The sequence below is a fragment of the Homo sapiens genome, chromosome 17 (assembly GCF_000001405.40).
Source record: "Homo sapiens chromosome 17, GRCh38.p14 Primary Assembly".
Taxonomy (NCBI): Eukaryota; Metazoa; Chordata; class Mammalia; order Primates; family Hominidae; genus Homo; species Homo sapiens.
Window position 1 is genome coordinate 68,677,468 of NC_000017.11, and position 21,527 is coordinate 68,698,994.

At 44.2% G+C, this 21,527-nt stretch overlaps 2 long non-coding RNA genes across 2 annotated transcripts in view, besides 2 other annotated features; one reads left to right on the forward strand and one right to left on the reverse strand.

Annotated features, from left to right (window-relative positions):
* Nucleotides 1-2,139, forward strand: part of LINC01482 (long intergenic non-protein coding RNA 1482) — a 51,453-nt gene extending 49,314 nt beyond the window's left edge. The window contains exon 5 of the long non-coding RNA NR_110825.1: nt 124-2,139. This is a non-coding gene — a long non-coding RNA (long intergenic non-protein coding RNA 1482). The remainder of the gene's footprint in view (nt 1-123) is intronic.
* Nucleotides 8,877-9,378: an enhancer, noted in NCBI's record as "H3K27ac hESC enhancer chr17:66682485-66682986 (GRCh37/hg19 assembly coordinates)". NCBI's record gives its function as "activates a minimal SCP1, AML or CMV promoter by ChIP-STARR-seq in naive H9 embryonic stem cells {active_cell/tissue: H9 hESC(naive)}" and the evidence as "EXISTENCE:reporter gene assay evidence [ECO:0000049][PMID:30033119]".
* Nucleotides 9,379-9,878: an enhancer, noted in NCBI's record as "H3K27ac hESC enhancer chr17:66682987-66683486 (GRCh37/hg19 assembly coordinates)". NCBI's record gives its function as "activates a minimal SCP1, AML or CMV promoter by ChIP-STARR-seq in naive H9 embryonic stem cells {active_cell/tissue: H9 hESC(naive)}" and the evidence as "EXISTENCE:reporter gene assay evidence [ECO:0000049][PMID:30033119]".
* On the reverse strand, nt 14,323-17,632 carry LOC124904049 (uncharacterized). Its single transcript, XR_007065887.1, has 2 exons — nt 17,507-17,632; nt 14,323-14,569 (listed from the first exon to the last, which is right to left on the reverse strand). It is a non-coding gene; the product is annotated as an uncharacterized LOC124904049 (long non-coding RNA).
* Between the last annotated feature and the right edge of the window lie 3,895 nt (nt 17,633-21,527).

Consider the following 21,527-nt stretch of genomic DNA (forward strand, 5'->3'; position numbering starts at 1 on the left):
TGGGTTGAGAGAGTCAAAGCACACAAGTTGGCACTGCTAATTTGCTCATACCTCTGAGGAACAAAGTTGCTCCTGTTTTCTATCTAAGAGGGTCCCCTGTCTCTTCCCATTGTGTGTTCCCAGGCCTCGGTTCCGGACCAGTGCTGTCATGGCCTCACCATGTCATAGAATTCCCATCATTTCACTTGTGACTCCCTTCTTCCTAGGACCCGGGCATAAATTCTTGAAGAGTTGATCTGAGTGACAGACTCCCACGCTATGCCAAAAACGGCCTCTTATTTCCCAATGATTGAGACCTTTTATTTGATCAATCTCATGTGCTCACTGGACCCCAGTGATACCTTCACATACCTGACACCTCAGGGAAACACAGCTTCCGTTCAAGTCAAGATCCTTGCTATACTGCAAACTCTTATGAAACGTCTAGGAGAATTTTCAGGCTCCTTTGTATATGGAAAAAGGTCAGAATGAAGCTCCAAATTCTTCAGCATGTGTAAAAACTTAAGACAACCATATTTTATTTTTGTTTTATTTTTTATTTTTTTCATTGTTTTTTTTTTTGAGACAGCCTTGCTCTGTTGCCTAGGCTGGAGTGCAGTGGCGCGATCTCGGCTCATTGCAACTTCCACCTCCTGGGTTCAAGCGATTCTTGTGCCTCAGCCTCCCAAGTAGCTGGAATTACAGGCATGCACCACCATTCACAGCTAATTTTTGTATTTTTAGTAGAGATGGGGTTTCACCATGTTGGCCAGGCTGGTCTCGACCTCCTGACCTCAGGTGATCCAGTCGTCTTGGCCTCCCAAAGTGCTGGGATTACAGGCATGAGCCCCTGTGCCCAGCCAACAACTACATTTTAAAGCAACTTTATTCTCAACTGAATGACATTTTAATCACTTTCTTGCCCATGTGGATATGGATAAGGATATTTTGCCAATATTCTTGTTTGTGTTTGACTGTGATGCTATTGTTATACAAAGAATGGGCAGGTGGAGCTAAGCAGAAAGAGACAGTCGGGTACCTGTACCATGGAAAATGGAAGAGAGCCAAGCAGACTGCATCCTTAGGGGGCAGGGAGGTCAGTGCAAGTTGGGACAAAGCCTAGCTGAGTCGGTGAGCACTTCATGGCAGACTAGTCAAATTATATCTCTTGGACTAAGATCTTCATTAAAGGCCTGCACCTCAGAGACATTTCAGCCTACCAAGGTGCATCATTATGGAAGACTGGGCATGATAATAGTAATTTAAATGAAGTTAAAAGAGCAGTCTAAATTAGAACAGGTATTCACATTCCAATTTCTCTTGAGAAGAGCCTCTGTTGGATAAAGAAAACTCGCTGAGCAAAATAAATCGATTGGAGGTAAACTTTACCAGCCCTGGAGTGCAAGGTTTAGAAACATGCACACATCCCACGGTGTTAAGGGTCCTGCTGTTTTCTTCCATGTCATTTCATCACAGAACAATTTTCTACAGCAACCTGATCTACCTTGTGGCCCAGTAAGGCATGTTTTGTTTTGAGATGGAGTCTCACTCTGTCGCCCAGGCTGTAGTGCAGTGGCGTGATCTCCGCTCACTGCAAGCACTGCCTCCCGGGTTCACGCCATTCTCCTGCCTCAGCCTCCCAAGTAGCTGGGACTACAGGCGCCCGCCACCATGCCCGGCTAATTTTCTGTATTTTTATTAGAGACGGGGTTTCACCATGTTAGCCAGGATGGTCTCGATCTCCTGACCTCTGGGATCTGCCCGTTTCGGCCTCCCAAAGTGCTGGGATTACAGGTGTGAGCCACCGCTCCCAGCCAAGCATGTGAGAGTTTTAAATCAAATGTTACCTTGTCCCTATTAGCCTTACCACTGCTAAATATCTACACGGTTCCCTGTTAAGGAGAGTTTCTAAATGACTCTCTTGAGAAATCCTGGATAAATGGAGAATGGAGCATTTTTCCTGCCTCTAAGCTTTGCTCCACTGCAATCTTTCACATGCTGTGTATCCAGAGGGTGACTGCCAGATAGCTTCTTGAAGAAAGGGAGGAGGAAACGGTCATTTTCTTGCTGCGCTTTCTAACACCCAACAGAGGAAATGCACAGCATAGGTGTGTGGGAGTTTGGCTGACTTATGGTAAAAAATAAACATGGTTTCCTGTTTGTCTCTTGTTTCCATTCCTTCCTTCCTTCATTTCATTCTTATTTTCATTCAAGCGGTGAGGAGTGACTGGTACTTCCTGCCAGGAATAACATTTTATGAGGGCAAAGAAGGTGTCATTTGGGGACCAAAAAATATCAGTCCTTCTTGCAGGCTTCCAAAAATTCTCACCTTTCACTCATCAATCAGTATCATTCCTTAAACTAATGTTGAGTATTTTAACTTGTGCTAAATCATCCTGTTATTTGGAATGCTGAAAGACTGGCATCTTGATGCATTATAATTTTCTCATATATCTGATTAGCTTGGAGCAATTCCAAGTGCACAGCATATTCCATTACCCATTTGTCCATCCACCTACACACCCACCCACCTTTCCATCCATGCATCCATCCATCCATGCATCCATCCAGCCAGCCATCCATCCATCCATTCATCCATCTACCTACCCACCCACCCACCTTTCCATCCATCCATCCATGCATCCATGCATCCATCCATCCATCCATCCATGCATCCGCCCATCCATCCATCCATCCATCCAAAGAAGGAAATGAGTTGAGTGTTCTGTGTTGAAGAGACAGACAGTGCAAAGGCACTGAGGAATAACAAGCTTGGTGTGTTTTGTTTGTTTGTTTCTTTTAGATACAGATTCTTCCCATGTCACCCAGGCTGGGGTACAGTGGCATGATCATAGCTCACTCTAGCCTAGAACTTCTGGGCTCAAGAGATCCTCCTGCATCACCCTCTCAAGTAGGTAGGACTGCAGGCACATGCTATCACATCCAGCTAATTTTTAAATATTTTTTGTAGAGATGAGGTCTCACTGTGTTGCTCAGGCTGGTCTTGAACTCCTGGCCTCAAGTGGCTTTCCAAAGTGCTAGGATTATAGGCGTGAACCACTGTGCCCGGCCAAGCTTGGTGTAGATTACTGAGCTGAAGCATAGTGAAGTGTGGAGAGAAGAGGTAGAGAAAAGGTGGGAGGGGGAAGGGGAGATGGAAGGAAAGGGGAGAAATTGGGGGCCATACCAAGGAGAGCCCTGTAGACCATTGTTGAAGACTTCTGGTCACTTTATTCTCAATGCAATGGGAGCCCACTGCAGGGGGCTTTAATCAAAGGGATGACATAATGTAATTTACATTTCAGAAGCATCACTTTGGCTGCTATGTGGAGAATAGACTTTAGGATGGCAAGGATAGAAGTTAAAGGTCCAGGCCGGGCTTGGTGGCTCACACCTGTAATCCCAGCACTTTGGGAGGCCGAGGCGGGCGGATCACGAGGTCAGGAGATCGAGACCGTCTTGGCTAACACGGTGAAACCCCGTCTCTACTAAAAATACAAAAAAAAAATTAGCTGGGTGCGGTGGCGGGCGCCTGTAATCCCAGCTACTCAGGAGGCTGAGGCAGGAGAATGGCGTGAACCTGGGAGGCGGAGCTTGCAGTGAGCCGAGATAGCGCCACTGCAGTCCAGCCTGGGCGAAAGAGCGAGACTCTGTCTCAAAAAAAAAAAAGAAGTTAAAGGTCCAAGAGAAAGGTAGCGGTGCTGATGGAGACAAAGGGACAGATTGAGGATGTGGAGCTCATAGGGTTTGCTGGTGGAATGGACATAGAGTGAGAGGGAAAGAAATTAACCAACGATGGCTTCCAGGTGCAGGGTTTGAGCAATCGGTTGAACACTGACATCCTGGCTGGGACAACAAACACTGAGGGGTAGTCAGACGTGGGGAGCAGGGAACAACTAACAGCTTTGTTTTAGATACTGAAGTTTGCAGCATCTATGAACCCTGTGACAGAAGGTGCCTAGTAGGCAGGAGCATATATAAGAGGAGTCCAGGAGAGGTCAGGCAGGAGATAGACATTTGGAAGTCATCAGCACATGGAAGATATTTAACACTGTGAGACTACAAAAAATAACCTAGAAAAGAGTGTTGATAGAGAAGGAATGCTGGAGAACTCCAGCATTTAGAGATTAGTAAGAAGAGGAGGAGCCAGCAAAGAGGAGGTTGAAGTCATTATCAGATCAGTTTGTAGCTTGTGAGCATAGGGATCATGCCCCACAAACAGGAGTTTTTACTGAGGCTTGGAAAAGTCTGATCTTCCATATCAGAAATCAACATTTTGCAGGTACATTGGCTATTAGGGCTTTTCAGCTGAATCAGTTACTCTGCATAATATATATCCTGCATGGAGTAACTTAAAAGTTTTGGGAAGCAGGAAAAAGATATGATTTCTATGGTCCTTAGAAACATTGCCTAGTGATCTAGGGACCTGGAGAAATTCCACATTATTGAAGTCAAGATGTTCCATATCTATTCTCTGTTTATCTAGTTAGGTCAGTGCAGTGGTAAGAAGAAGTCGAGAGCCTGGATTCTGGTCTTGTCCTCATCATCTACTAGCTGGGTGACTTCGAGCAAGGTGATTAACTTCTTTGAGCTTTCCTTCCATTAATATACCATATTGAGTTGTTAGCAATACTCGTAGGATTTTGTGTGTGTGTGTGTGTGTGTGTGTGTGTGTGCATGTGTATACGTATGTGAAGAATGCTGGAGATAGCGCATGAAAAGTACTTAGCACATGGTTAGAGCTCTGTAAATGGCCATTTTTATAGTGATAGTTATTGTATCCATCTTCTTCCCTTCAGACTCTGTTCTGCTCCACATTGTGCTCATTTCTTACTTTTATCAAGATTTTCCTCCATTTTGCAATGTTTTTTCTCCTCCTTTCTGCCTTTCCACTTCCTACCAGTCTCCTCTTCCATGTCTTTTATTCAAACATTTTTAAGCTTGGCCTGTGTGTTAAGTTCTGTGCCTGGAAATGAACACCATAAACTCTTCCCTAATTATCTCAGCTTACCATCTATCTTCCACCCATTCAGCCACCCACCCCCCCGTCCACTCACCCATCCATCCGTCCATTCAATCACCCACCCATTTATCCATCCATCCATCCATCTATCCATCCACCCATCCATCTGTCTGTCCGTCCATCCATCTGTCCACGTGTCCATCCATCCATCCATCCATCCATCTGTCCGTCCATCCATCCATCCATCCATCCAACCATCCATCCATCCATCCATCCATCCCCTAGGTATTTTTTTACTTCCAAGTGATTTTGCACAATCTAACATTGATCTTACCTAGCCTTGTGACTTCTGATAATTCCAGGTGTATATATTAGCTTTCTCAGTGAGACTGTAATTTCCTGAATGGGAGGAGAACATCTAACACTTAAAAAAAAAAGCCTCATTAGAGCATAGAGCAAAAGGCCAGATACCGAATGGGCATGTAATATATTCATGTTAAAATAAAATGAGAACTGGAAAATGATTTGCCCAGCCTGGCTGGGAAAGTCCTTCATACAAAGTCCTCCTCGGTTTCCCTGCCAGACTGCTGTCATGTGGCTGTTTTCAGACTGTGATTTACGAGATGGGCAGAACTGCGTCAATTATGCAAATCACACAGAGCTCCCTAAGGAAAATGCCTGCCAATTTCAGGGGAGTCTGCCCATATTCATTTATGCTTGTTGAAGCTTTTTAAACATCCCATTGGCCCTCTGTCACACGCACATTCACCTCTGAGTCACCTTGTGCTGTCTCTAGTGTCTTCTCTGCTCGCTGATAATAGCTGCTGTATTAGTGCAAAACCACACCCAATTTCTAAAGCTTGGGTGCCATGTTTTTTTTCATCCACTTCTTTACCAGACACTTAATGAGATGCTGTTGAGGACTAGGCATGTACTGGGCATGGGGGAATATAGTGGTGAATAATACATAATCACCACTCTAGGAAATCAGAGCTCTCAAGGCAGACAACAGACAACTACCATTCATTGTGATAAACATTATAAAAGTGGAGCAAAATAGAGAGGAACTAATTCTGCCTGTGAGTTGGAAGGAAGCTTCCCAGAGAAGATGAAAGATAAGTAGGCATTCCCTAAGAGATAAGAAAAGAAGAAAGAATCAAGACAGAGGGAATATTATATGCAAAGGCACAGAGGAATATAAGAGAGCAAGACATTCAATGGCCAAGAGATGGTTGGTGTGAAGGGAAGGGATGAATGTGAGAGGGGGGATTTGAAGGAAGTGGGTGAGGAGAAGCAGGAGATGAAGCTGAAACCGATGAAGAACGACCCCGTGTAAGATGATCAGGATTGTGGCTCTCATTGTGTAGAGGCAATGGGGAGCCATTTAAGGAGTGAGGACATGGTTTCATTTGTGTTCAGAAAAATCTCTCTGGCAGGGGGAAGAGTTATTGGGCTATGGTAAGTGCAGAGCAGAGATGATGAGGGCTAAAACTAATGTAGTGGAAGATGGATGGGGATGAAGAACATAATTAATTTGAAGGATGCTTAGAAGGTAGGAGCTATAGATGGCAACACCAAAAGTGAGAGGCATGAAGATTGATCCCAAGATTTCTAGTACCAATAGCTTGGTAGATGGCAGCTTTATTGAATGAGTTGGGGAAGATGGGAAGGAATCAAACTTTGGAGGGAACGTGATGGTTTGTGTTTGTGACATGTTGAACTTGGAGATATCCAGTCAAATCTAGAACTCGGGAATAGTATGAAACTACCAGTGCTGTTGTTTCTGGGCCTTAGAACATCTCTGTCCTTTACTTTGCTTATGGATCAACAACTTTAGAGTAAAATGGGAATCTTTATCATCTTGAGTTTCAGCATTAGACTAGTTTAAGTTCAAATTTTGTCACTCTAATTTACCAATATCCTGCCTTTTTTTTTTTTTTTTTTTTTGGTGACAGAGTCTTGCTCTGTCACCCAAGCTTGATTGCAGTGGCACGATCTCAGCTCACTGTGACCTCCATCTCCCGATTCAAGCGATTATCCTGCCTCAGCCTCCCGAGTAGCTGGGATTACAGGCATGTGCCACCACATCCGGCTAATTTTTTGTATTTTTATTAGAGACAGGGTTTCACCACGTTGGCCAGGTTGGTTTTGAACTCCTGACTTCAGGTGATCTGCCCGCCTCGGCCTCCCAAAGTGCTGGGATTAGAGGTGTGAGCCACCACACCTGGCCCCAACATCCTGACTTTATACAGGTTAACCCACAGCTACCAGCCAGCTTTCACAACAGAAAAATGGGGCCTGTTAATATCAGTCTACAGGGTTTGTGATAATTCACTGAGATGTGGAGACACTATAAGCAATAATCAGGCAGTGAAGAGTTCTAAAAAGATAATTCTAAGCACTCAAAAAGGCTCTGCACAGATTTAGCTATTCCCAAGTTTCTCCACTTAAAAAAAAAGTCCAAAAGATTATTTTGGGAAATGGACTTAGGCCTGGAAATGCATTTGGCTTACTAAGGCCCTGTTTCTTCACCTTAATTATTTTTGGAGGAAGGCTGCAGATTCCAAAGGACACTGGGCCATGAGACTCAACACACATGTTCTCTTTCCTGGCATTTGAGAAAAAAATTTTTGGAAAAATCCCCAAAACCTACTGTCCACACAGCAGCCCTCAGTGATCACTGCAATTGCTCAATTGTATGGTTATTCACGAGGCGCAGATTATAGGGTTACTTAGCTGAAGTCTCTGTGACTCCACCAGATAAAACTAAATTAAAAAAAAAAAACATGCAAACGCTGGATATTTTCTGAGCATATGGCAGCATTTAGTTTTAGTCAGCAAGAAATAGGAACAAAACAAAACAAAGCCAAACTGTGAGCAATATTTTTTGTTCTCTTTTTCTGTTTTGTTTTGCTTTTCAAGGATGTGGATATCTGAGACCCAGGCTTGGTTATACAGAACAAGCCTCTTTTGAAAACACCTGATATTAATAAAATGATAAAAGAACAGGCTATTCGCAATTTTTATGGAGGCCTTGCTTCAAAAGTTTGTTGCTAGATCTGTATTTTGAAACTTGGAATTCAGGTTTGCATAGAGATGGTAATTTATAGGTCTCCAGGCCAGCCTGGGCAAATAATCCTGTTCTAGCAAACACCATCATCCTCCATCCTGTTGTTCAAGCTAGAAACCAAGAAGCTATTTTGAAAAGCATCTGCTCCCACCTGTTACGTCCACTCAAACCACACATTTTGTCCACCCCAAACTCATCATCTCCTCTGCCTCCACCTTGGTCCAAGGCTTCATATCTCTTGCCTGAACCATGACATTAGTGTCCCAACTAGAGTCTCTTATCTCTGATACTCTGATACTCCCTCCACGTGATGGGTAGATATGTCTTTTTTTTTTTTTTTTGAGATGGAGTTTCACTCTTCTTGCCTGGGCTGGAGTGCAATGGCACGATCTCGGCTCACTGCAACCTCCGCCTCCCGGGTTCAAATGATTCTCCTGCCTCAGCCTCCCGAGTAGCTGGGATTACAGGCATGTGCCACCACGCCTGGTTAATTTTGTATTTTTAGTAGAGGTGGGACCATGTTGATCAGGCTGATCTCAGACTCCCGACCTCAGGTGATCGCCTTGGCCTCCCAAAGTACTGGGATTACAGGTGTGAGCCACCGCGCCTGGCCAAATATGTCCTTTCAATAGGCACTCCCATGTTAAAAACCCTTCATTGGGTTCCCATTGCCTATGGGGTAAGGCCTGAAGTCTTTGGCATGGCTTCTGAGGTCCTCTGCAGCAGGGCCTGGTGCCTCTTCCCCTCACCTGGTGCCTCTTCCCCGTTCATCGTCTCCTATTCTAGCCACATAGGCCCCCTTTCAGTTTCTTGAAAGCATTGTGCTGACTCACCATTGAGACGTCACTAATACTGTTTTCCATGTCTGGTAGATGCCTGCTCTATGATTGACTCATGTCTATCTCAGTATAAATGTCACTTCCTCAGGGAAGCCTTCCCTGATTCTCCAGGTAAAGCTGTTTTCCTGTGGAGATTGTTCATGAATCTGTTCTTCCCACTAAACCTCTAGGCTTGAAGGATAGTGTAGGTGGGTAAAGTCCATATCTGTCTTGCTCCCTGTGATATCCCTCATACCTGTACCATGCCTGGAACATGACAGACACTCACTCAAATATTTGCCAAATGAATGAGTGTGTCCGAGGTGCAGGCACTTGTGACTGTACATGACGTTATGTCCATGCGAGAGGTGCTCAGAGTGCCACTGCCCCCAATGGCCACAGGGCTTTCCCCTCCCCACAGCCACCCCACTGGGTGAACAGTCAGGATAGAGATGGCATCAGGCCAAGCCATGGTGGTGGCTGCCACGGTCTGTAACCGGCATCCCAGCGGGGCAGGGGGTGGGAGGGAGCCATGACCTGAGGACCACAGAGCAGGGCGACAAGGGCTCAGGTAATGGGCTGAGAACAGGTAGCAGGGAGGGTAGACAGAGGACTCCTTGCAAGCAAGGACACTGTCATGCTTGGTGTTTTAAGCCCAGAGCCTGGTCCAGGCCCAGAGAGTGGGAGATGCACAGGAAATGACTGCTGACTACAGACGGAGATGAATGCAGAGTCTGAGGTTGGGGGGGCCCCTTCTTGCTTTTCCTTTTTCCCAATCCCTCCCTGCCTCACTCCCTTACCTGTTACCCCTAGGACCCAGAGTCCCCTGCAGATGTAGGACAGGGGCAGGAAACCACAGATGGAGGCTCATGTCAGAGCATCTCTCCTTCTGGCTCAGGCCCAGCCCAGTTTAACCAGGATCACTAATTTCTACCTTGAAGCATTTTGGGAGGGTTTTTGAGGGCTGTTACGAGGCGTGGGCCACATCCATCTTTATCCAGTGACCTTATTGGAGGTCACAGTGCAAAGCAGATGGGGAAGTTTAATTAACGTACAATAAGAAAGTCATAATTTCTAGAATTCCAAATAAAAGGTATCCCTGATCCCCACAAAAATGGAGCTGAGCCCATTCCTGTGGGCTTTAGTCTTGCTTCCTCCTTGCAAATGGCAAACTGCAGGCTCTTGATTTTACCCTTAACAGTGGCCCTTGCCTAGCAGCTGTGTCTCTCTGTCTATCCTCAGGCCTGGCTCTGGGCACCTATCAAAGGGCAGTGCTTTTCTGGTCTGGGCTGTAGGGAAGGGTGAGGGCCCTGCTCTTCATAGTAGGAATAGCGGCATGGGACATCTTCACTGGAAGGGAGAAGAGTAAGTCATCAGAGAGACAGGCACGGTTGCCAGGTTGGTGTGAGGGAATGATTCTAGAATAAGAGGCTGCTTTGTTGGATTTCACAGCCCCAGTCATGTCTCTCACCTCTCTACCTGAATTCATTACATATACATGTACACACACACATACTTATACATGCACACCAGGGTCATAAGTGGCAGAGCTTCAGCCTGAACCCATCTTCCAGCTTTTGACCATACAGGACTAACTTTAGCTTGCTCCCCTCCTTTCCTCTGATTTTTCCCCTCCTATGGAACTTGCCCAACTTCCAAAGCTCTAGCATCTTCGTTACAGGGCTCTTACCATGGAACCTGCCTGCCCCACTCAGCTGCCATGAGGTTAATGTGCTCACTTTTATGTCTTAGCTCTGGAAGGCAGCAGTCAAAATTGGAAGAACAAAGAAAGAGATAGAAATAAAATGAATTTGTATACATGTATCAGCATGTATTAATTATTCAACAAATGTATTGGATTTTATTATAAAAAAAGAAGAAACAGTGGCAGACGAATCCATTAGCGTTTATTGTAGGTGCACAGGCTGTTTTACCAAGAGAACTGAGAAAAGAACACAGAACAAATAAACTTCAGGGAGGGTGGGGTAAGAATGTGTGTGGTGGTTGGGCACAAATGTGCAGGATTAGTTTTTGCTGATCAGGTAGAGAGAGGGAGGTAGGTATATGGGAGCACTGTTAAAATATCTTGAAACTTCCGTTTTTTCATGGTTAATAATACTGGATTATTATAGTGGAACAATAGTGTGGATTAAAAGAGGTGAATCCGCAAAAGCTTTTAACATACGCATGGAGCAAAGTAATTACTCAGAATATTTTGGCTGATACAAATATTACTAATTTTCACTTCTGAGTTCTTACTTTCCTGAGTCCTCTGAGTAGAAGATACACTTTTTTTAAAATGTAGATCTTGCTTTGTGTAATTAATGGGCTCCTGCAAAGCTGTATTTACCTTGGGTCTACTGTCACTTGTGAAACTAAATTGACAGTTCTTCTTTTTAATGCTTGGGCATGTGATCTAAGTGTTGGAAATCTCCTCTGTGGGTCTCAAGCACTTGTTGGTCTCCATTGAACTTTGCTGGGGTTCTGGAAGGCTATTCCTTGTCTAAAAGAAAACATGTAGGTAGGGGAACACTGATGTTAAGCCCTCATTGGCACCTGTATGGGGCCAACTGTATGGAACCTTCCCTCCCTCCACAGATGGAATAGAGCAGCTCATGGCTAGAACAATAGGAGAGACAGAAGTTATACACAAACTGCCAGGTCGTGCACAAGGTATGCAGGCTGGTTTCTGAATACAGATGATAAATTAGCCTGTGGGCAGGTAGAGCCGTGATGGGGATGACACTAGGCAGATGCCAACTATAGGTCCTTCTAGGAAGGTGTCTTAGTTCATTTTCTGTTGCTTATAACAGAATACTTGAAACCTGGTAATTTATAAAGAAAAGAAATTTATTTTTCACAGTTATGGAGGCTGAGAAGTTCAAGATCAAGGAGCCACATCTGGTGAGGGCCTTCTTGCTGGTGGGGACTCTGTAGAGTCCTGAGTGACTGGCATAGGGCATCACATGGCTAGGGAACTGAGCATGCTCATCATGTCCTCTTTTCTTCTTATAAAACTACCAGTCCCACCCCCTAGATAACCCATCATTCCCATTAATCCAATTAATCCATTCAGGAGGGCAGACCCCATCAACTCTTAAAGGCCTCACTTCTTAATACTGCCATATTTGGAAGTACATTTCAGCATGAGTTTTGGAGGGGACAAACATTTAAACAAAAGTAGAAGGAAACTAGATAAGTCTTTGACTTTCTTTGCTGGCAAATTAATCTTCGAGAAGGTAAAGAAAACCACACGGAGATCTTCTATCTGGAACTTAAACCAGTAAGGAAAAACTGATTGGGAGCACAAAGGTGAGGGAAGCTTTGGGAGAAAATAACCTCACTGGGCAGGCAGATAGCACAGTGGTAAGGGCATAGGCACTGAGATCATGCCCCATGGTCCAAATGCTGGCCCTGCTACTTATCAGCGACATTCCTTTACCTTATCGTGTCTCTGTTTTCTCCTCTGAAAAATGGGGATGATAGTAGTACCTACGTCATGTCATGGTTGCAAAAATCAAATCAGTCCATTTAGTACAGGGCAAATATTCAATAAACATTAGCTGTTAGTATGATCGTTACTTGAATTCATACTTGTGAGGGAAAGTTTAGATGGAGAGTCATGGGCCCTAGACTTTAGGGAAATCTAAAAAATAACTTTTAAATTAAAATTTAACTAAAACTTTAATTTTTTAACTAAAAAAGTCAAAGATAAATGAAGTAGAAAACATAGAGGGGATTTTGGCCTAAGACAGTTCAGCAAGCTTTTTCTGTAAAGGGCCAGGTAGTAAATATTTTTGGCGTTGTGGGCCATACGCTTTCTATGGCAACTAGTCAGCTCTGCCATTGTAGCACAAATGCAGCCGCAGACAATGTGTAAACAATTGAGCATGACTGTGTTCCTATAAAACTTTATTTATAAAAACAGGTTTGTATAGTTTGTGGACCCTTGGCTGATGAGGAATGGGAAACAGGAAAATACAAAATTCTGCCTGTGTCATTGTAAATGATGACAGCAAATTGAAAACTAACAAGGCAATTATTAAATGAGCCAACATAGCTTCAGTGGGAACTGTTTACCTCAGACTGAAAGACGACACGTGCCAAAAAGTAGGGAAATTGTGGTGTCTTCCGCGTATCATGTAGTTCAGAAATAAATATGATGATGTTAAAAAAAGAAAAAGGCTAAGCTTTCCATGAATCTAGTAAAAAGGTTAATGATTTTCTTAAAAAAGAATGAATAGGTTTTATTTTTGTTTTGGGGGGTTGTTTAGTCTGTGCAGAAGTTTGTAGCAAGGGGAGGATGGGCACTCGCCTGGGTACAGTGTTGTAATGCAAATGGATGCCATAGCCTCTGTAACCGTAGCCTCCTGGAAGGGGACCCAGAAGTGGACCACAGGACCTGGAAGTGGACCACAGGACCCAGAAGTGGACTGGATGATCCTTTGAGAGTTATGGGGCAATGGTTCCAAGAAGACTCCCTAATAAAAACTATGGAAAAGAGTTCTCAGCCCAAAGACAACCTCAACACTATAAATAGGGACAAGAGATTGAAAAAAAGGTCTGAAAGTTCTCAGATGCAAACACAACTTATTTCTAAATGGTAAGATTTTGGGTAATTATTTTCTTGTTATACCTTTCAGCAATTTTTATTATTGGCATGTATTACTTTTAAATGTCAAAGGAAAATAAAAACTATTTAGGGTGGAGCCACCTTCTCAGAGGTGTAGTGTTGGGACTGATGCTTAGAAATTATAAAAAGGCAGATTTTCACTCAGCATAAATAAAAATTTCTCATTGTAATGATCTGACATGCAAACTACTGAATCTCCCACTGGGGGCAGATATTAATCGCTTTTCCATCAGCCATTTTCTTGCTTTCTTTTCCTGATGGTAGAACTAGCCTCCCAGTATATGCCCAGTACTTGTTTTTCCAGCTTCCTTTGTAGTTAGGGAATAGGCGAGCCACCCTATCCTGGCCAAGAATTGCTGGGAAATCTTCTGAGTGGTTCCTGGGAGATGTTCTCCTTCTTTGTGTGTGTGTGTGTGTGTGTGTGTGTGTGTGTGTGTGCATGTGCAACATGAGGAAAAGCATCAACCTTCCAGTGTTTGATGTACCCTTTGAGCATGTGGTTTTTGGTGCAGTGGCAGCCATCTTATGACCATGAAGAGCAAAACCTGAGGTTACCATCCAGTACTCTGAGGATGGTAGAACAGAAAAATGCAAAGAGTGGGGTCCTTGATTCATCAAAATATAACCATCTCCTCAGCCCATATTCACACTTCTGAGGAAAGTGTTTTTATTGAGGATTCAGTTCCAATTGTATTGCAGGTCCTAATTTATTTCACCTTCTCCGAAATGTTCACACAGAGGCATGATGCTGGTGTTCCTCCAGTTATCTAAATGTTGTCAAGTTTGAAAGTGTCTCAGCATTCTTGGGGCCATGGGCTCTAATTGTTTTAATGAAAAACCTTGCAGCAAGGGGTCAGAATGCAGTTTTGCAGTGTTTATTTCATGTCATTAGATTTTGTTGCTTTAACTGTTGCAGGGAATAAAGGCGTTTTAATGTGGCTCACTGATTTCTTTTTCCTGTGGTTGCTGTCATCCTTTCACAAATCCAGCTCTGTGGAAGACAAGGGTCAGTCCTGGAGGTTCACATCAGTGAGGCATGAAGTGTCCATTCTCTGCATGTGGTGACTAGTGGGCAGGTCTCAGGGAAGCACCAATCTTTGCATGTCCTATGAGGCACAGAATAATAGCAATAAAATAGAGCGTGGGGATTGGAAGCACCTGTTCCACAATACCAGGTTCAAATCCTGGTTCTGCCAGTGACTAATAAGAATTCGGGGCAAATTACTTAACATGTCTCTGACTTTGTTTTCTCATTATAAAATGTGTATGATGGTAATATGGTGGAGGTCATGAGGATGAAGTATGTGTGAAGTCTTTAGCGTTATACCTAATATGTAGTAAGAACTCTATACATGGGTACTACTACTCACAATACATGGGACAACTGCTGTTTCCAAGTGTCACTGTGACTGGGAGAAAATGTCTCTATCGGGATAATTTGTTCTTTAGCAAGACCTTCTGGAGTTGGATTTAGCAGATGGCAGCTCAAATTTGGATAACCCTCTTCTTGTGGGTCTGGCAACTCATGGAGCTCTTTCTCTCATTCACATTTAATTGTATTTGTGTTTGTAGCATGATTTTGGCATGTGACTCAGTTTCCCTAGCAGATGAGAAGCTCCTTGAGGGAAGAGTTGGGATTTCCATTCTTGGGTTCTCAAGAATGCAGAGCTCTGGGCTGCGCACATGCACATGTGCAAGGAATGTTGGCCAGGGATTGGGTAGATGGGCAGCAACTACCTGTGATATGAAGAATTGGGGCTAGTTTCTAGAAAGTTCAGAGAGCAGTGGTTCTCACACTTGGCTATACCTTGGAGTCACTGTGGATAGGGTGACCAACCATCGTTTGCCCAGTTTCCAAGGACCTGGGACTTTCAGTTTTAAAACCAGGACTTTCAGTGCTAAAAGTTGGAAAGTCCTGGGAAAGGTGTGAAAGTAAGTCCTGGGAAACTGGGATGAGTGGTCACCCTACCAGTGGAACTTTAAAACATGTTGATGTGATGGCTGGGACTCAGCCCCAGAGCTTAAGATATAAGCTGTGGTCTAGGGTGAGGCCTGGACATTAGTGTGTCTAATAACCCAGGTGATTTTGATGTTCAGAAAAGGATGAGAAGTGCTGATGAGCAGGAGCTCCTGACAGGGTTGCAGTGCACATCGTTGAGCTGTGGATGGGTTACAGGGGGCTAACAAACTGGCTCCCTTCAGACTCAAGGGCACTGGTTGTCTAGCCCCATTAGCAACCTTCTCATTTCACTCCAGTGTGCCTTCCAAAATGTGCCATTTTCTGTGTGTGCTATGACATGCACAAGGTTGGGAAGCACTGACTGAGTAATAATGCATAAAGGTGGTGAATAGAGAGTTATTAAAAAAGGGAATTTAAAGGCCCCACTCAAGACCATCCAAAGTGGAATGACTACAAGCCTGGGAATCTGCATTTGAATCAGGCTTTCCAAGTGATTCACATGCATGCTCAAATTTTAGAATCACAAGAATGTATATATAGAAAGTATAGCAAAAACATAATAGTAATAGTCTTAAAGAAATGAACTTCAGAATAGCCCTGCCTGAATTGACTTGGGTACAGAAAATCACAGGTGAGACAGAGGAATGGGAACCAGAACCATTTTCCTTTATATCACAAAAACCTCCCTTTTCCCCAGATCTCCTCCTCTCCTTGAAATGATTGTGTCTCTGAACAACACAGCTGCAGCTGTCTGCTCTCAGATTTTTCCCTAAACCTCAGGTCACTGACCTTCAGTGGGCTAGATTTAGTCTCCTGTGGCAGATGAGATTATTGTTCTCAGCTCTTGACTTTCTTCTGCTCTGTGAGCTTGCAGTGAACAGAAGTGGAAGAGAATGCTTCTCACCTTCTTATGACTGAGAAGCATTGATATTTGCTATTGCAAGCCACTCAGTTTTAGGGTCGTATGTTTCTCAGCATGATTGCAGCCAGAACTAATTCACTTCTCAAAAGATAAAGAATTTGGGTTGCCACTGGTCCCACCAAAAGACTTCAAAACATATTACAAAAGAAGGGCTCACCATGGTGGTGAGGGCTTGGAAAGGGGTGAAGACCAGCCAAGACTGATAGTACTTGTGCACGTCAATGTCTCCTTAGAGACTGCGGCGCTCCTTCCAGCCGGCTAGTCTCTTCTCCACCTCTTGTTCATGAAGCGCTGGAAAGGGCCCTGCTGGGGCAGACCTGCAGTGCCTGCAGAGGAGCCAGATAGCATGTGGTTACCAAGTACCACGTGCCCACTCCAAGGCAAGGTGTACTTTCTAAAGCAGGCGGTTCTTGTTCATGCCTCTCGTTTATTAGTGGACTTCCATTTATCTTTCTTAGTCTTCTGTAGGCTTGGGGAGGCAGACCAAAGTTTTCTGTAGGCTTGGGGAGGCAGACACAAAGTTTTCTGTAGGCTTGGGGAGGCAGACACAAGAGCCATCCCCTTATTTGCTGCTGGGAACCTGGGACTGAGCTCTAGCTCTAACTGTGCCACTCACTACGAGACCTTGCCTCGTCACTCATCTCTGCAGTGCATTATTGATTAAGATCTTTTTATAGCCATGAGATTGCATGATTTACGTTAAAAAAAGGCATGACGAGAATGTCATGGGTTGAGAGTCATTCTTCCCAGAGTCAGGAGGTAGGATCTGATGTGTGATGAGGGGTCCTGTCTTGCAATTCTCATCTTGCCTCTATTAGAAACCGAGAAGCAAAGGAACCCCATTTGCCTTCCACTAGGAAAGACACCAACATAGGGTGCCCAGTGAATTCTGCCAACCAGGAAGTCTTCCTTAACAATAGCCTCCTGCCCAGGACAGGTCTACAGGTTGGTTTATCAACAGCAACTCCTGTGCTTGGGGCCACAGCTCCAGCAGCACCAGACTTTGGCTTCCAATTGCTTTGACCCCAGATCTCCGCTGGTTTTCCTAGTTCCTGACTATCTCACTCTCAACTGGTTTCTCTCTTCTGGTCTAGCTCATTTGGACTGACAACAGAGGCCCAAATTTGGCTTGTACATCAGTTTCTCCCTTGGAGCTCATACCTGCTCTTGTTCTGTCCACGTGTGGTCACTGGGAGAATGATGCCCAGCCTAGATTCTTGACCAGAAAACCTTCCTCAGCCATGCTTGACCATCCGCCTTGTGTTCAGAGGAGGCTCAGCAAATGCTACCTCTACCCACATCTTGACTTATTTTATACTCCACACAGCCAGGGGTGTGGTTGGCAACTGGTGGTTGTGGTGAATGGATTCCAGCTTCTGATGGCCGAGCGTGCCCTCCTTTCTGGCTGAGACACCTGGGAGGGTGGGGGTGTGCTAAGGAGTGGGCAGCTGGACACACCACAAGAACCTCATGGCAATTAGGGAGTTAGGCCATTTCCTGCCTCCCACACAGCAGGAAACAAAGATGTGTGTTGTTTTATTTCTTCCAGCATTGACCATAAAGATGCCAGACAGGAACTGAGATAGAAGCTCTGGAGGCAGGCAGGAGACAGAGGAGCTGGCAAAAATCAGAGGTCATCGGGGACTTCAGAGATCAAATATCCTCCTTCTCAGATGAGGAAACTTAGACCCAGCAAAGTGAAAGCAAGCATTTTCCCAAGGGCTGTCACTCTCTTGCATCAAGTTTAAATTAATTTAGGCAGCGTCAGGTTGGAGACTGGGTTCCAAAAAAGGTAGTTTCCAGAGTTCACCTTGAAGAGCAGCAGCTTGATGCCAGTGGACCTCAAAGGGGCCAGCCCAACTGGTCATTCTGATTGGTTCAGAGCTGACCTAGTGCAGAGCTGTGCCTGCAGTGAAACATGAGAGAGGCCTCCATCCCTGGACTTCTCTGGCTCTTCTCTTTCTCCTGATTTGTCATCTTGCCTTTCTTCAGAAGAGTCACCATCGTCATCACCACCATCATCACCATCATCACAACTATCATCACCATCACCATCGTCATCATCATCACTACCATCACCATTATAATTATCATCACCCTCAACATCACCATCACCATCACCATCATCACCACTACCACCATCATCACCATTATCATTACATTTTTACTATAGGAGCTGAAGCTTGCATGTATCTCTTCTTCTGGCTGTATCACCCACTGCCCTCCACCCATTGCTCTCCTGCCTCCTCCTGCCTAACTCCTATTCATCTTTCAGGACCCTAATCTGGGCTTCCAATGAAGTGTCACCTCTACTGCAGGCCTTTCTGGCCCCCAAATCAGAATTAGCTCCTCCTCCTCCGGGCTTCCACACCATTTACTTCAAGGGTCTGTGTCCCCGAGTTGATTTATTGCTTGTGTAAGTGATCAAGTAGAGATACTTAATAATGTCCCACTCAGACTCCAAGGTCCCTGAGAACGATGCCTGCGTTTTATCTTTCTACATGAATTACATGTCATGTAGGAAGTGCTCACCAGGAGTTTGTCACATTAAACGACTAAGTTTTGAAGGAGGACGTTTCTGGATTTTAACATAATAGGAAGAAAGTTAGGATAATACCAAACTTTTCCAAAATGCCTCTTTCACACAAAGCAAAATGAGCCTAGTAACTACAGGATAAGGTATCAGGGGATGAGACTCATAACAGCGTATGTAGTCAACATGGAGCAGAAATTTAGGGTATGGAAGAGGAACAGGGGTGCCCAGGGGGTTGGAAAAAATCATTAGGAATATCAGAAAACCGTTCGATTTTAAGAATTTCTTATTTTTTTTTCTCTTTTTGAGGATTGCTGGAGAGGTTTATTGTGCATTATGACTGACTTCAAGGGCTTTGTTTCTCTCCCCGAGCTGCCCTTACACGGAGGCAGAGAGGTGACGGGGGTGGGTGGGGGTGGTGAGAGTGGGGATGGTGGTGAACAGAAACCCCTTACTCCTGCTTTTTTGGTCTTGGTCTATCACAACACCTTGTTTACTCAGCCCACCCCTGTATAGGGTACATTGTCACTTCTCAGTCTGCAAAGGATAAGAGATAAAAAGGGATCCTTGAAAGACTTACGTCACGCATTAGGAAGCTCTTTGCTATTGGAGAAGACAATTCCCAGCTTCATCCCACAGGTTTGTTGGTGGTCAGACTTGAAGAGATTAATGGTGGATAAACAGGTCCCAGGGAAAGTGGCAGCATCCAATCTGTTGCCAGGAAGCAGGGAGAGAAATGCCACACCGTAGGATTCCATATATGGCACTCACTTCTTCCATGGCTAGATTAGGGGTGCCTGACCTTACAGCATAACAAGAAAGAGGCTTGTGCAGCTGAGAAGGAAGCAGACCCCCAACCCATAGCCAAGAATGAAAACTCTGGTTAGGAGATAAACAGAATCTACCTGATATTCTGATATGCTTTTCTAGAAGTTCTGAGAATGTGATGAACATGGTGGAAAAGTCTCTTTGCCAGGTGCATTATTGGTAAGTTGCTCTGCTAATGCCACATGAGTTGATTCTCATTGTGGGGGTTTTACTGAGTGGAGAAGATAATTAGGAGCTACAATAGGATTGTTTAATTAGATAATTAAAGAATAAATTATGTGACCCTCTCATTTTTCTGTATGTGTACAGGCTTATTATTATTATTATTTTTTACTTTAGTGCAAGGGTCAATCAACTTCCTCTTAAAGGACCAGGTATCAAATATTGTAGGCATTGTGGGCCATGTGGTCTCTGTTGCAATTATACAACACAGCTGTTGGAACACAAAAGTAACAATATGTGAATGAGTAGGCATGGCTGTGTTTCAATAAAACTTTACATATGAACACTAACATTTGACTTCCATATAATTTCCATGTGTCAAAAAAAAACTGTTCATTTGATTTATTTGTCAACCATCTAAAAATGGAAAACCATTCTTCACTCACAAACCATACAAAGTGGTAGAACAAATTTGGCCTGTGGGCTGTAGTTTGCTGACTCCTGTCTTAGGGGATGCCTCAGTGCACCTCCTGTTGTAAGGAGATTGGAGCTAGTTTCCAAGATAGAAATGAGTAATTTTGAAGTTTCCCCAGCAATTTCAAAATCCATTTTCAGGCTAGATAACTGGTCCATGATAAGTCTGAAAAGAAACAAGCCTGGACTTGCCTGCCTAACTCCATTATGAAATCTGTGGCTTCCAGGGACCTTGAAGTCTTCCAGGTCATATTCTAGACTTTATGACCACATTTAAACCAACTTAGGGATACACAGCCCCTGTCTGTTAGAGGAAAACATACCTTAACTCCTAGAGTAAACAATTTCATCCTCATGTCCCTTAAGCACTCATTTTCACACTGGCCAGCTTTCAGGGGTGTGATGCAATCTGACTTCCTAATGTTGTGGATGAGTAGTGTAATGTAATGTAATGTAATGATGTAATGTAATGGAGAGAGTTGTTTATTCCCCTACACATATGCACCAAAGGGGTAAATAATGGCGACTCTCCATTTCTGGGTTTTATTTGACATTTTCCTCTACTGGGCCAGCTATGACCTTAGGTGTGGATCATTTCCTTTTCCCTAGATGGAAGGAGCTGATGTTATGGAGAACGGGGGTGGTGTTTGCTGATGTGGTTCCTGAATGTTTCCAGCAGCCCAGAGTGAAGCACCACTATAACAGAATTTAAAAATAGAGAATAAAGTAAGCTTAATGTAGCAGTTTTCTCAAGACACCAGAGTAGGCATTTAAAAAATAACTCAGGATGATTCTTTCTGGAGTCTGCCAAGGCGCTGAATTCTGAGACCATGGTGGGATTCTGATATTTAAAAAAATGTTCGTTGGTGGGGGTGGGGAGGTGATGGACTGGCATAGTTTAGTGCAGTATCTTGTATCTAGTAGGCTCTCCATAAAGGTTTACTATACAAATGAAGGGGGTGAGGGTTTAGGAGAGCATTTTGTCTGAACAGGAATTCTGGTTTCCTTCCAGCTGAACTGCCTCTTGGGTTGCCTCTCAGGTCTTTGTAGAAACATATGACATTCTGAGGAGTGGAGAGAAGTTCCCCTTTGGATCCCAGGCAATTGGCACGTCAAATCCAGTCTTACTTTTATGACACCAGAGTCCACACGGCTTCCTGTTTCTAACAGCTGCTACTGGCTCAG